The following is a 15845-nucleotide window of genomic DNA, read 5'->3' as shown; positions in this document are numbered from 1 at the left end:
TTGATCTATATCTCTGTTTTGGTACCAGTACCATGCTGTTTTGGTTACTGTAGCCTTGTAGTATAGTTTGAAGTCAGGTAGTGTGATGCCTCCAGCTTTGTTCTTTTGGCTTATGATTGCCTTGGCAATGCGGGCTCTTTTTTGGTTCCATATGAACTTTAAAGTAGTTTTTTCCAATTCTGTGAAGAAAGTCATTGGTAGCTTGATGGGGATGGCATTGAATCTGTAAATTACCTTGGGCAGTATGGCCATTTTCACGATATTGATTCTTCCTACCCAAGAGCATGGAATGTTCTTCCATTTGTTTGTATCCTCTTTTATTTCATTGAGCAGTGGTTTGTAGTTCTCCTTGAAGAGGTCCTTCACATCCCTTGTAAGTTGGATTCCTAGGTATTTTATTCTCTTTGAAGCAATTGTGAATGGGAGTTCACTCATGATTTGGCTCTCTGTTTGTCTGTTGTTGGTGTATAGGAATGCTTGTGATTTTTGTACATTGATTTTGTATCCTGAGACTTTGCTGAAGTTGCTTATCAGCTTAAGGAGATTTTGGGCTGAGACAATGGGGTTTGCTAGATATACAATCGTGTCATCTGCAAACAGGGACAATTTGACTTCCTCTTTTCCTAATTGAATACCCTTTATTTCCTTCTTCTGCCTAATTGCCCTGGCGAGAACTTCCAACACTATGTTGAATAGGAGTGGTGAGAGAGGGCATCCCTGTCTTGTGCCAGTCTTCAAAGGGAATGCTTCCAGTTTTTGCCCATTCAGTATGATATTGGCTGTGGGTTTGTCATAAATAGCTCTTATTATTTTGAGATACATCCCATCAATACCTAATTTATTGAGAGTTTTTAGCATGAAGGGTTGTTGAATTTTGTCAAAGGCCTTTTCTGCATCTATTGAGATAATCATGTGGTTTTTGTCTTTGGCTCTGTTTATATGCTGGATCGCATTTATTGATTTGTATATATTGAACCAGCCTTGCATCCCAGGAATGAAGCCCACTTGATCATGGTGGATAAGCTTTTTGATGTGCTGCTGGATTTTTTTTGCAAGTATTTTATTGAGGATTTTTGCACCAATGTTCATCAAGGATATTGGTCTAAAATTCTCTTTTTTGGTTGTGTCTCTGCCAGGCTTTGGTATCAGAATCATGCTGGCCTCATAAAATGAGTTAGGGAGGATTCCCTCTTTTTCTATTGATTGGAATAGTTTCAGAAGGAATGGTACCAGTTCCTCCTTGCACCTCTGGTAGAATTCGGCTGTGAATCCATCTGGTCCTGGACTCTTTTTGGTTGGTAAGCTATTGATTATTGCCACAATTTCAGATCCTGTTATTGGTCTATTCAGAGATTCAACTTCTTCCTGGTTTAGTCTTGGGAGAGTGTATGTGTTGAGGAATTTATCCATTTCTTCTAGATTTTCTAGTTTATTTGCGTAGAGGTGTTTGTATTATTCTCTGATGGTAGTTTGTATTTCTGTGGGATCGGTGGTGATATCCCCTTTATTATTTTTTTATTGCATCTATTTGATTCTTCTCTCTTTTTTTCTTTATTATTCTTGCTAGTGGTCTATCTATTTTGTTGATCCTTTCAAAAAACCAGCTCCTGGATTCATTAATTTTTTGAAGGGTTTTTTGTGTCTCTCTTTCCTTCAGTTCTGCTCTGATTTTAGTTATTTCTTGCCTTCTGCTAGCTTTTGAATGTGTTTGCTCTTGCTTTTCTAGTTCTTTTAATTGTGATGTTAGGGTGTCAATTTTGGATCTTTCCTGCTTTCTCTTGTGGGCATTTAGTGCTGTAAATTTCCCTCTACACACTGCTTTGAATGCGTCCCAGAGATTCTGGTATGTTGTGTCTTTGTTCTCCTTGGTTTCAAAGAACATCTTTATTTCTGGCTTCATTTTGTTATGTACCCAGTAGTCATTCAGGAGCAGGTTGTTCAGTTTCCATGTAGTTGAGTGGTTTTGAGTGAGATTGTTAATCCTGAGTTCTAGTTTGATTGCACTGTGGTCTGAGAGATAGTTTGTTATAATTTCTGTTCTTTTACATTTGCTGAGGAGAGCTTTACTTCCAAGTATGTGGTCAATTTTGGAATAGGTGTGGTGTGGTGCTGAAAAAAAATGTATATTCTGTTGATTTGGGGTGGAGAGTTCTGTAGATGTCTATTAGGTCTGCTTGGTGCAGAGCTGAGTTCAATTCCTGGGTATCCTTGTTGACTTTCTGTCTTGTTGAGCTGTCTAATGTTGACAGTGGGGTGTTAAAGTCTCCCATTATTAATGTGTGGGAGTCTAAGTCTCTTTGTAGGTCACTCAGGAGTTGCTTTATGAATCTGGGTGCTCCTGTATTGGGTGCATATATATTTAGGATAGTTAGCTCTTCTTGTTGAATTGATCCCTTTACCATTATGTAATGGCCTTCTTTGTCTCTTTTGATCTTTATTGGTTTAAAGTCTGTTTTATCAGAGACTAGGATTGCAACCCCTACTTTTTTTGTTTTCCATTTGCTTGATAGATCTTCCTCCATCCTTTTATTTTGAGTCTATGTGTGTCTCTGCACGTGAGATGGGTTTCCTGAATACAGCACACTGATGGGTCTTGACTCTTTATCCAATTTGCCAGTCTGTGTCTTTTAATTGGAGCATTTAGTCCATTTACATTTAAAGTTAATATTGTTATGTGTGAATTTGATCCTGTCATGATGATGTTAGCTGGTTATTTTGCTCGTTAGTTGATGCAGTTTCTTCCTAGTCTCGATGGTCTTTACATTTTGGCATGATTTTGCAGTGGCTGGTACCGGTTGTTCCTTTCCATGTTTAGTGCTTCCTTCAGGAGCTGTTTTAGGGCAGGCCTGGTGGTGACAAAATCTCTCAGCATTTGCTTGTCTGTAAAATATTTTATTTCTCCCTCACTGATGAAGCTTAGTTTGGCTGGATATGAAATTCTGGGTTGAAAATTCTTTTCTTTAAGAATGTTGAATATTGGCCCCCACTCTCTTCTGGCTTGTAGGGTTTCTGTTGAGAGATCAGCTGTTAGTCTGATGGGCTCCCCTTTGAGGGTAACCCGACCTTTCTCTCTGGCTGCCTTTAACATTTTTTCCTTCATTTCAACTTTGGTGAATCTGACAATTATGTGTCTTGGAGTTGCTCTTCTCGAGGAGTATCTTTGTGGTGTTCTCTGTATTTCCTGAATCTGAATGTTGGCCTGCCTTGCTAGATTGGGGAAGTTCTCCTGGATAATATCCTGCAGAGTGTTTTCCAACTTGGTTCCATTCTCCCTGTCACTTTCAGGTACACCAATCAGACGTAGATTTGTTCTTTTCACATAGTCCCATATTTCTTGGAGGCTTTGCTCATTTCTTTTTATTCTTTTTTCTCTAAACTTCCCTTCTCGCTTCATTTCATTCATTTCATCTTGCATCGCTGATACCCTTTCTTCCAGTTGATCGCATCGGCTCCTGAGCCTTCTGCATTCTTCACGTAGTTCTCGAGCCTTGGTTTTCAGCTCCATCAGCTCCTTTAAGCACTTCTCTGTATTGGTTATTCTAGTTATACATTCTTCTAAATTTTTTTCAAAGTTTTCAACTTCTTTGCCTTTGGTTTGAATGTCCTCCCGTAGCTCAGAGTAATTTGATCGTCTGAAGCCTTCTTCTCTCAGTTCATCAAAGTCATTCTCCATCCAGCTTTGTTCCATTGCTGGTGAGGAACTGCATTCCTTTGGAGGAGGAGAGGCGCTCTGCTTTTTAGAGTTTCCAGTTTTTCTGTTCTGTTTTTTCCCCGTCTTTGTGGTTTTATCTACTTTTGGTCTTTGATGACGGTGATGTACAGATGGGTTTTTGGTGTGGATGTCCTTTCTGTTTGTTAGTTTTCCTTCTAACAGACAGGACCCTCAGCTGCAGGTCTGTTGGAGTACCCTGCCATGTGAGGTGTCAGTGTGCCCTGCTGGGGGGTGCCTCCCAGTTAGGCTGCTCAGGGGTCAGGAGTCAGGGACCCACTTGAGGAGGCAGTCTGCCCATTCTCAGATCTCCAGCTGTGTACTGGGAGAACCACGGCTCTCTTCAAAGCTGTCAGAGAGGGACATTTAAGTCTGCAGAGGTTACTGCTTTTTGTTTGTCTGTGCTCTGCCCCCAGAGGTGGAGCCTACAGAGGCAGGCAGGCCTCCTTGAGCTGTGGTGGGCTCCACCCAGTTCGAGCTTCCTGGCTGCTTTGTTTACCTAAGCAAGCCTGGGCAATGGCGGGCACCCCTCCCCCAGCCTCGCTGCCACCTTGCAGTTTGATCTCAGACGGTTGTGCTAGCGATCAGCGAGACTCCATGGGCGTACGACCCTCCCAGCCAGGTGTGGGATATAATCTCATGGTGCGCCGTTTTTTTAAGCCCGTCAGAAAAGCACAGTATTCGGGTGGGAGTGACCCGATTTTCTAGGTGCTGTCTGTCACCCCTTTCTTTGACTAGGAAAGGGAACTCCCTGACCCCTTGCGCTTCCCGAGTGAGGCAATGCCTCACCCTGCTTCGGCTTGTGCACGGTTCGTGCACCCACTGACCTGCGCCCACTGTCTGGCACTCCCTAGTGAGATGAACCCAGTACCTCAGATGGAAAAGCAGAAATCACCCGTCTTCTGCATCGCTCACGCTGGGAGCTGTAGACCAGAGCTGTTCCTATTCCATTTTCAATCTATTGATTGTGTCTTCAGATACATAACAGCTTGTCACTTTGATGAAGTTCTTTTTATGTATTTTTGGTGTTGTTGTTGTCTGTGCTTTCACTGTCATATCCAAGAAATTATTGCCAGATTCTATGTTATGAAACATTTTTCCTATGTTTCTTCTAAGGGTTTTATAGTTTTAGCTCTTACAATTAGATGTTTAGTCCATTTTAAATTAAGTTTTTTATATGGTGTAAAATAAGGCTCCAACTGTATTGTTTTCCATGTAAATATTCATTCTTAACACCGTTTAAAAATATACTGTCCTTTCCCCATAGTTTTGACTCCCTTGTTAAAAATCATGACTGTGTTTTTTGGTTCTTTATTTCTATTGCATTGGTCTTTATGTCTGTCTCTATGGTGGTACAGCATTGTTTTGGGTACTGAAGCATTGCAGTAAGTTTGAAACCAGGAGGTGTTAGTCCTCTAATTTTGTTAGTTTTTAAGATTGATTTGGCTACTTGGGGTTTTTTGAGATTTCATCTGAATTTTAGAATAGGTTTTTGTATTTTTGCAAATATTGGAATCTTTATAGTGATTTTATTGAATCTGTAGATGACTATTGATAACAATGGAATCTTGATGAGGTTTTGTCTTCCAGTCCATAAACACATGATGTCTTTTCATTTATTTGTGTTATCTTTAATACTTTCCTGCAATGTTTATACTTTTGCTGTACAGGTTTCTCATTTCCTTGGTTAAATTGGTTTCTAAGTATTTTATTCTTTTGATGCTATCATAAATGATACTGTTGTCTTGATTTCTTCTTCAGATGGTTTGTTATTGTAGAAATACGACCGATTTTTGTGTGTTGATTTTGTATCCTGCAGTTTTGCTGAATGTTATTTATTGCATCTGATAGTTTATCTCACAGAAACTAAAAGATTTTTAATATACAAGGTTATGTCATCTGCGAACAGAAAATTTTACTTTTTTAAAAATTGGAATATGTTTTATTGTTTTACTTGCCTTATTGTTTTAACTAACTAGAACCTTCAGTACTATATTAAATAGAAGTAGTAAAAGCAGGCATCCTTGATTTTGCTCTTAGGGTAAAAGCTTTCAGTCTTTCATTATAATGTTAGCTGTGTATTTTTTTAATATAACCTTATGTTAAGGTGTTTTATTCCTTTTTATAGCTTATTAAGTATATTTTATCATGAATGTGGGTTAAATTTTGACAAATTCTTTTTCTTCTTTGATTAAGATGATCACATGAGGGTTTTTTCCTTCTTTATGTTAATGTGATATGCTGATTTTCATGTGTTGGAACATACTTTTATTTCAGGAGTCAATTATACTCATTCATAGTGTATAATCCTTTTAATGTACTGCTAAATTTGAATTGCTGGTATTTTGTTGAGGATTTTTGCATCAGCATTTGTAAGGGATGTTTGTTTGTAGTTTTCTTATGGTGCCTTTGTCTGACTTGGTGTCGGGGTAATACTGTCCGCATAGAATATGTTAGAAAATGTTACCTCCTCTTCAACGTTTTGAAAAAGTTTGAGAAAAACTGGTGTTAATTCTGCTTTAAACGTTGGGTAGATTTCAACAGTGAAGCCATCTTGTCCAGGCTTTTCTTTGTTGCTGGGTTTTTGATTACTGATGTCATCTTCTTGGTGAATCTCCTTGCTGAATAGGTTTATTCAACTTTTCTGATTCAGTCTTAGTAGGTTTTTTGTTTCTAGGAATTTGTTCATTTTATTTAGGTTATTCAATTTTTTAGTGTATAGTTCCTTATGGTACTCTCATACATCCTTTTTTTACTCCAAAAATTTGTTAGTAATGTACCCATTTTATTTTTGAGTTTAGTAATTTGAGTATTCCCTTTTTTTCCTTAGTCAATCTAGATAAAATTTTGTCAGTTTTGATCTTTTTCAGAGAACAAACTTGGTTTTGTTGATTTTTCATATTGTTTTTCTCTTCTCTATTTCACTTATTTCCACTGCTGTCTTTATCATTTTTAAAATTTTGCTAGCTTTTAGTTGTCCCTCTTTTAGTAGTCCCTCTTTTTCCCTCTGTTTCTAGTTCCTTAGGAGTAAAGTTGTTTATTCGGTATCTTATTTTTTATCATTTATAGCTATAAATTTTTCCCTTATGGTATTGTTTTTGATGTATCTCTTTCAGTATTTCATATTTTTAATTTGTCTCTAGATATTTTCTATTTTCTCTTGTGATTTCTTTTATCCTTCCTTGAGTGTTTATACCTATATTTTCAGACATAAAATGTGAAACCTACAAAATTTTCTTGATTTGTTACAGTTTTATTTGTTGTAAGTTTTTATTTTAGAATTAAATGTGTGTATCAACATTTGTTATGTTCTCATAAGCTTTGTAATACAGGGAGATTCCTGGTCCACATATATAAGCCTCTACATGAATATTTTTTTGAAGCATTTAACCTTCTGTTTTAATATTTCAAAGGCCTAAATGAAATTGAGATTTTGGTTTCTGAGATGAAATCATGGTAGGTGATTGATAAATGCTTAAAAATTAGCCAAAACTTAAAATTAAGTTAAAGTTTACCTTCAAGATTCAACCTGAATGAGTTGCCCTGTATTGCTGGTAGTAAAAAATAAGTCTTTAATGGTATAAAAGCAAATTTCAGAGAATGTTTTTTTCCCCATTGACATCTAAATTAAAAGCTGTAAAAAATTTTGATTGCCTTATGCATTTTTTACTTTAGAATTCCAACTTTTTCTGGTTAAAATTATTCCAAATAGATTCCTGTGTATTTGAAAGACAATTTTTTAGTTGAAATGCTTAAGCAGTTAAATAAGGCCATGAAAGTTTCTTGAACTTGTGGGAATCCATGAGAAAATCTGACATTATGTTCTATTCTCTTGGAAGGTAGAAATATCATTTGACTTCTGTTTTGCTGACAAGAAATGTGGTCCTGAGGTCCTGAGCAAGGCTACCTGGGATAATGACCTCACACATGGAAAACGCTGGAGCCCATCTGTCTCCAATCTGCTGTTTTCCAAAAATTAGGGAACTTCAGTTTTCCCTTTGATACTCTCTGTTTCTAACAACCCCAACGCCAGGGCTGTCCTGCTTCTACAAGTGACAATGACAAATATAGGCCTGAAGGAAGATGAGCTGATGGCATTCCCAGCTTACTACCACTCCTTGGGGGCCTTATCTCACATATGTTGATTCAATTCATAGACTCAGGTGGGTGAGGATCTATTGTTCAGCTACATTAGAAGTGACTGCTTAAGACTCTGGTGTGTGGTGAAATGAGGCAGAATTTTCTCAATGGAGTGTTGGGAGAAGTTTCTCCTTATAATTACCGTCTTACTATCACTAAATCATAGCTCAAATAAGGAAATTATTCAAGAAGAAATAGAAATGTAATCTTATGAAGACATAAATTTAGAGATTTGTGGAAAGCCCTTCATAATTTCATGGTGTTCTGTTTGAGCTGGGATTATAGTTGATATTTCATTATAATATATTAGCTGTTCTAGACTTTATGCATTTATGTAAAGTTTTCTTTGTTGTACTTTAAGTTCTGGGATACATGGGCAGAGCATGCAGGTTTGTTCCATAGGTATACACGTGCCATGGTGGTTTGCAGCACCCATCAACCTGTCATCTACATTAGGTATTTCTCCTAATGCTGTTCCTCCCCCAGCCTCCCACCCTTTGACAGGCCCCAGTGTGTGATGTTCCCCTCCCTGTGTCCATGTGTTCTCATTGTTCAACTCCCACTTATGAGTGAGAACATGCAGTGTTTGGTTTTCTTTTCTTCTTTTTCTTTTTCTTTCTTTTTTTTTTTGAGACAAAATTTCACTCTTGTTGACCAGGTTGGAGTGCAATGGCATGATCTTGGGTTACCGCAACCTCTGCCTCCCGGGTTCAAGTGACTCTCCTGCCTCAGCCTCCCAAGTAGCTAGGATTACAGGCATGTGCCAAAATGCCTGGCTAATTGTGTGTATTTTTAGTAGAGATGGGGTTTCTCCATGTTGGTCAGGCTGGTCTCAAACTCCTCACCTCAGGTGATCTGCCCACCTTTGCCTCCCAAAGTTCTGAGACTACAGGCATGAGCCACTGCTCCTGGCCTGGTTTTCTTTTCTTGTGTTAGTTTGCTGAGAATGATGGTTTCCAGCTTCATCCATGTCCCTGGAAAGGACATAAATGTGTAGTATTCCATGGTGTATATGTGCCACATTTTCTTTATCCACTTTATCATTGATGGGAATTTGGGTTGGTTCCAAGTCTTTGCTATTGTGAACAGTGCTGAAATAAACATACAGTGCATGTGTCTGTATAGTATAATAATTTATAATGCTTTGGGTATATACCCCGTAATGGGATTGCTGAACCTTGAGGAATTGTCACACTGTCTTCCATAATGACTGAACTAATTTACACTCCTACCAACAGTGTAAAAGCATTCCTATTTCTCCACAGCCTCATCAGCATCTGTTGTTTCCTGACTTTTTAATAATCACCATTCTAACTGGTGTGAGATGGTATCTCACTGTGGTTTTGATTTGCATTTATCTAATGACCAGTGATGATGAGCTTTTTTTCATATGTTTGTTGGCTGCATAAATGTCTTCTTTTGAGAAGTGTCTGTTCATTTCCTTTGCCCACTTTTTGATGGGGTTGTTTTTTTTCTTGTAAATTTGTTTAAGTTCTTTGTAGATTCTTGATATTAGCCCTTCGTCAGACAGATTGCAAAAATTTTCTCCCAATCTTTTGGTTGTCTGTTCACTCTGATGAGTTTATTTTGCTGTGCAGATGCTCTTTAGTTTAATTAGATCCCATTTGTCAATTTTGGCTTTTGTTTCCATTGCTTTTGGTGTTTTAGTCATAAAGTCTTTGCCGATGCCTATGTCCTGAATGGTATTGCCTAGGTTTTCTTCCAGCGTTTTTATGGTTTTAGGTCTTACGTTTAAGTCTTTATTCCATCTTGAGTTATTTTTTTGTATAAGGTATAAGGAAGATGTCCAGTTTCAGTTTTCTGCATATGGCTAGCCAGTTTTCCCAACATGATTTATTAAATAAGGAATCCTTTCCCCATTGCTTGTGTTTGTCAGGTTTGTCAAAGATCAGATGGTTGTATGTGTATGGGCTTATTTCAGAGTTCTGTATTCTGTTTCATTGGTCTATGTGTCTGTTTTTGTACAGTACCATGCTGTTCTGTTTACTGTAGCCTTATAGTATAGTTCGAAGTTGGGTAGTGTGATGCCTCCAGCTTTGTTCTTTTTGCTTAGAATTGTCTTGGCTATTTGGGCTCTTTTTTGGTTCATGAGAATTGTAAAATAGTTTCTTCTAATTCTGTGAAGAATGTCATTGGTAGTTTAATGGGAATAGCATTGAATTCTTTTATAAATTACTTTGAGCACTATGGACATTTTCATGAATTAATTCTTCCGTATCCATGAGCATGGAATGCTTCTCCATTTGTTTGTGTCCTATCTGATTTCTCTGGGCAGTGGTTTGTAGTCCTCCTTGAAGTGGTTTTTCACTTCGCTTGTTAGCTGTATTCCTATGTATTTTATTCTCTTTGTAGTAATTGTGAATGAAGTTCATTCATGATTTGGCTACTTGCCTGTTGTTGGTGTATAGGAATACTAGTGATTTTTGCACATTGATTTTGTATCCTGAGATTCTGTTGATGTGGTTCATCAGCTTAAGAAGCTTTTGGGCTGAGATGATGGGGTTTTCTAGATACAGGATCATGTCATCTGCAAACAAAGATAATTTGACTTCCTCTCTTCCTATTTAAATGCCTTTATTTCTTTCTCCTGCCTGACTGCCCTGGCCAGAAATTCCAGTACTACGTTGAATAGGAGTGGTGAGAGAGGCCATCCTTGTCTTGTGCCAGTTCTCAAGGGGAACGCTTCCAGGTTTTGCTCATTCAGTATGATATTGGCTGTGGGTTTGTCATATGTGGCTCTTATTATTTTGAGGTGTGATCCTTCAATAGCTAGTTTATTGAGAGTTTTTGACATGAAGGGATGTTGACTTTTATTGAAGGCCTTTTCTGCATCTGTTGAGATAATCCTGTTGTTTTTATGTTTAGTTCTGTTTATGTGAGGAATTACATTTATAGATTTGCCTGTGTTGAACCAACCTTGTATCCCAAGGATGAAGCCATCTTGATCGTGGTGGGTCAAGGTACCCTTATCAGTCTTAAGTTCAGTCTTTTTACATAATCCCATATTTCTTGAAGGTTTTATTCATTCTTTTTTGGTCTTTTTTCTCTATTGTTCTCTGTTCTTTTTTCTCTATTCTTCTCTTCCTGTCTTAGACAGATGGTTTTGAAGCTCTGAGATTCTTTCCTCCACTTGGCCTTTTCTGCTAGTGATACTTGTGGTTGCATTGCGAAGTTCTCGTGTTGTGTTTCTCACCTCCATCAGGTCAGTTATGTTCCTCTCTAAACTGAATATTCTGGTTATCACCTTCTGTAATTTCTTTTATGATTTTTAGCTTCCTTGCATTAAGTTAGAATGTGCTCCTTTAGCTCAGTGTGGTTTGTTATTACCCACCTCCTAAAGCCTACTTTTGTCAATTCAGCCATCTCAGCCTGGGGTCCGTTCTGTGCCCTTGCTGGGGAGGTGTTGTTGTCATTTAGAGGAGAAGAGGCATTCTGCCTTTTTGAGTTTTCAGCGTTTTTGTGTTACGTTTTGTCATCTTTGTGGGCTTATCTACCTTTGATTTTTGACATTGCTGACCTTTGAATGGGGTTTTTGTGGGGTCTTTTTTGTTGATGTTGTTGCTTTCTGTTTGTTTTTAACTGTCAGACCACTCTTCCCTAGGTCTGCTGTGGTTTTCTGGGGGTCCACTCTGGACCCTCATCACCTCAGTCTCTCCTGCACCTGGAGGTATCACCAGTGAAGGCTGCGAAACAGCAAAGATGGCGGCCTGTTCCTTCCTCTGGGAGCACCAGTCCAAGGAGGTACCGACTTGATGCCAGCTGGAACGCTCCTGTAGGAGGTGTCTGGAGACCCCTGTTGGGAGGTCTTGTCCAGTCAGGAGAAACAGGATCAGGGACTGCTTAAAGAAGCAGTCTGGCTGCCCTTCGGCAGAGCAGGTGTGCTGTGGTGACTCCCAGGAGTCTCCAGAGCCAGCAGGCTGGAAAGGCTCAGTCGGCTGAACTGGGGAGACAGCAGCTACCCCTCTCCCTGGGGACTTCATCCCAGGGAGAAATCAGAGTTCTGTCCATAGAACTCTGGCTGGAGTTGCTAAAATTCCGATGGGGAGGCCCTGTCCGGTGAGGAGGGATGGATTTCGGTCTCACTTAAAGAAGCAGCCCGGCCACGGTCAGTCACAGCAGCTGTGCTGTGTTATGGGGGACTCCTCCTGGTCCCTGGTGCCAGCAGGCTAGAGCGGCCAACTCAAACCACAGATAGAGTGGCTGCCCTACCCCGGGAACCCGGTCCATCTCCGGCTGTCTCCAGCCTGCTGCTGCTGGCCAGCTGGAATTCCAAGCCAATGGGACTTGTGAGGTGCTGTGGGAGTGGGGCCTCAGAATGATGTCACTTGGCTCCCTGGATTCAGCCCCCTTCCTAGGGGAATGCACGGATGTATCTTCCGCTTTGCTGGAATTCTCGGGGCAGAGGATGCAAAACTCCTGGGCTTTCACGCATGCCCCAGTGAGCCAGCGAGCATTCCGCCCAGACTCCACACAGCTCTGTGCTTCAGACCCAAGGCCATGGCTGAGCTCACCAGGGGACCTCCTGATCTGCAGGTTGCAAAGATCCGTGGGAGAAGCACGGTTTCCCGGGCAGAGTCGCACAATCCCTCACCGCCTCCCTTGGCTGCGAGTGGGGGCGCCCCTAGCTCCGTGCCACACCTGGGTGGGCCATCGCCCCACTTGTTTTCCTCGCTCTCTGTGGGTCGAGCTGTCTGCCTAGTCAGTCCCAATGCAAGAACCTGGATACCTCAACTGAAGGTGCAGAATTCACTCGCAGTTTTTACTGCTCTCCGTGAGAGCCGCAGGCCACAGCTGCTTCTAATAGGCCAGCTTGGCCCCATCTAAAGTATGATTTCTTAATACATGAGATGTTTTAAATACATAACAATATTTATCACAAATAATATTTTGTCTCAGTGTGATATAAAAATTGCTAATAAATCAATTCTTTTTTGGTTACCACAAAGCTTTCTGGAAATGTAACATCTGCCATTTAGAAAATTTTTGTAGAGTTAATAGAATTTTACCTGAAGGGAGGCTGGCAATATGCATCATAATTTCAAATATTGTATTAATTGTTTTGTAATTTTGTGTTTTTTAAAACTAAACTTATTAAATTGGTTGTATATTACTTTAGGTAGCACTATTTGGTGATGAGAGAATAATAATTTGCAAAATATAAGAGTTCCTTATTATAAAAATGTCCTCTGTTTTATATTACTACCACTTCCTCTGAAAGTTTAAAATTGTAATTTTCTAATTAAATTATATATTCCCAAATGTGACTTGTAAATGTTAATATTTACAATTTTAGGGTTTTTTTTTTTGGCATTTGGTAGGGATAGGGTTTTCTGGTGTCTATGCTTCTTCAAAATAAAAGGTAGAGAGAATGGAATCAGGAAAGGTTAAAACGCAAAGGAACACAATGTTGATGATAGAGATTGTTCATTTGCGGCTGGCCAGGGCCTAATAATATCAAGAGGAAACATGATCAATAGAAAACCTGCATGTCCTTGAACAATATAGAATTTTTAATTTCTCTTAAAATTATTCATGATAAAAATCTCTGTACTTTGTACATTTAAGAGAGAGAAAATCAGAGGGCAGGGGCCTCCCTGATCCTGATAAGAGCGCCCAAAGCACAAAGGATGTGTCTTTATCTCCTCCCAACTCCACGGTGGAAACAGTTGCTCTGGTTATCTTATTGCAGTGATGCACAGAGACATGATGGTCAAAGAGCTTGCACACTTTAAAAAAGAAACGTTGGCTGGGCGCGGTGGCTCACTTCTGTAATCCCAGCACTTTGGGAGGCCGAGCCGGTGGATCACGAGGTCAGGAGTTTAAGACCAGCCTAGTCAAGATGGTGAAACCCCCTCTCTACTAAAAATACAGAAATTAGCCAGGCACGGTGGCAGGAACCTGTAATCCCCGTTACTTGGGAGGCTGAGGCAGAGGAATCGCTTGAACCAGGGTGGTGGAGGTTGCAGTGAGCCGAGATCTAGCCACAGCATTCCAGCCTGGGTGACAGAGTGAGACTCTGTTTAAAAAAAAAAAAAAAAGTTATATTATGTTGAGATTAAAAAAAATAAATGACATGATTTGTCTACAGATCTTTATTACTCTACCTCATTTACATTAAATTTATGAACAAGTTAAATAATAACACACAGGGCTTTTATTATTATTATTGTGATAATTTCTTTGTCAACATTATTTTTACCATGTTGTATAAACAGCATTGTAAGACCTGTGACTGGTCATTGACAATATATACAATATGTGTATATTTGTACGCAGGATCTAGCTCTGTCATTCTTGCTGGAGTGCAGTGGCACAATCACAGATCACTCCAGATTCAAACACCTAAGGTCAAGCCATTCTCCCACCTCATCCTCCCTAGTGGCTGGGACTACAGGCATATGCCGCCACAGTCGGCTAGTTTAAAAAAATTGTAGAGACAGGGTCTTCCTATGTTGCCCAGGCTAGTCTTGAGCTCCTGGCCTCAAGTGATCCTCCAACACTGGCCTCCCAAAGTGCTGGGATTACAGGTTTGAGCCACCGTGCCCTGCCTGCTCATATATTCTTCAATAATGAGATAAGAAAAACCTATCACCAGGCAGGATTTTTAGAGGTTTCCAAAACTGGAACATATGACTTGTGATCAAGCCCTTCCACTGTTTTCTGTCTTTTATCTCTGCAATAACAGTTCTACTACTGTTTTCCTCAACCAGCTAATAATTAAATGTCTCGAGATCGTAAATGTCTATGTTTGTAAACATCATGATTCTGGCTGTACCCTGCATTAAGTTAGATTGTCAGAGAAATTGAGATGTATTTTAGTTATTTGGTTATTATCTTATAATTATTCTTTTGGCATTTCTGCATTTCACAAGGTTCTTTTCATGGAAATATCTAGTTAGAAAGAATAATACTTTTCTAAAATTGTGAGCTCAGTTTCTCGGTTGCCAACTATTGCCACTGCACTAACCAAACTTCCTTCATCTGTCACATGAAATTGTCATAAACACTTTATGTTGTTGATAACCAGTGATAGGTCTCACAGTGCCATTTATAGAATATGATCAAAGTAGTGGTGACTAAGAAATTGTCAATATAATAATAAAACAGCCCAGTATTTTATTATATAAGTTGTATATACATTTAATTTAAGCCAGAGTACAAAGATCTGTAGACAAATCGTGCCATTTAAAAAAAATCTCAACAAATTTGACATTATTATGAAGATGAAGAAACAGATTTATCAAGCTCTATTTTCTTTAAATTATTTTTTATTATACTCTCTTTCTTTGCTTCACACATCTGATCTAAACATCGGCAGTGTTTGTGATCGGTCTTTTGTTTTGGTACATTTAATGGTGTTATTTTCCCCACAACTACTCATGATTATATATATGCTTAGGGACTTACACAATTTTGAAGGTTAATCAAGCACAGTTAGAATGAACTTGATTTGCATTGTCTGTCTCTGAGAGTGGTCAGGGACTTCACCCTCAGCCCAAGGACATTCTGGTTGCCACGTCTCCTGGTGAGAGCTGAGATGTACATCCTGATTTATGTTTTTAATGTATCATATGGGACTCAGTTTTCTTTTATACTCTTACCAACCCATATGACCTCTAAGGATTTTTATTTTATTCTTTTTTCCTCACATCTGTACTATGTTATTGTAAATCCTATGATACTTTTAAAATGAATGTGTCAGATTTACTGAAAGAAAATATAAGGAACACAGTAAAGTTTAAAATTGGGATGAGCAATGAATAACATTTTAGTATAGCTAAGCAATATTTGCATATTTATGTGTAATGTGTTTAAGCAAGTATTGGAAGATATTTATACAAATAATAACATTACCCAAAATTCAAATTGAGTCAACTGTCTTATAATTTTTTAATTTTTAATTTTTGTGGGTACATAGGTGTATATATTTATAACATAAATGAGATGTTTTGATACAGACATACAAAATTAAATA

At 38.9% G+C, this 15845-nt stretch overlaps 1 annotated feature.

Moving 5' to 3' along the window:
- Window positions 3917–4416: an enhancer, noted in NCBI's record as "H3K4me1 hESC enhancer chr10:81665-82164 (GRCh37/hg19 assembly coordinates)". NCBI's record gives its function as "activates a minimal SCP1, AML or CMV promoter by ChIP-STARR-seq in primed H9 embryonic stem cells {active_cell/tissue: H9 hESC(primed)}" and the evidence as "EXISTENCE:reporter gene assay evidence [ECO:0000049][PMID:30033119]".

This window comes from Homo sapiens, chromosome 10, assembly GCF_000001405.40.
Source record: "Homo sapiens chromosome 10, GRCh38.p14 Primary Assembly".
In the NCBI taxonomy this organism is placed as follows: Eukaryota; Metazoa; Chordata; class Mammalia; order Primates; family Hominidae; genus Homo; species Homo sapiens.
This window is presented reverse-complemented; position numbering and strand designations above follow the sequence as displayed.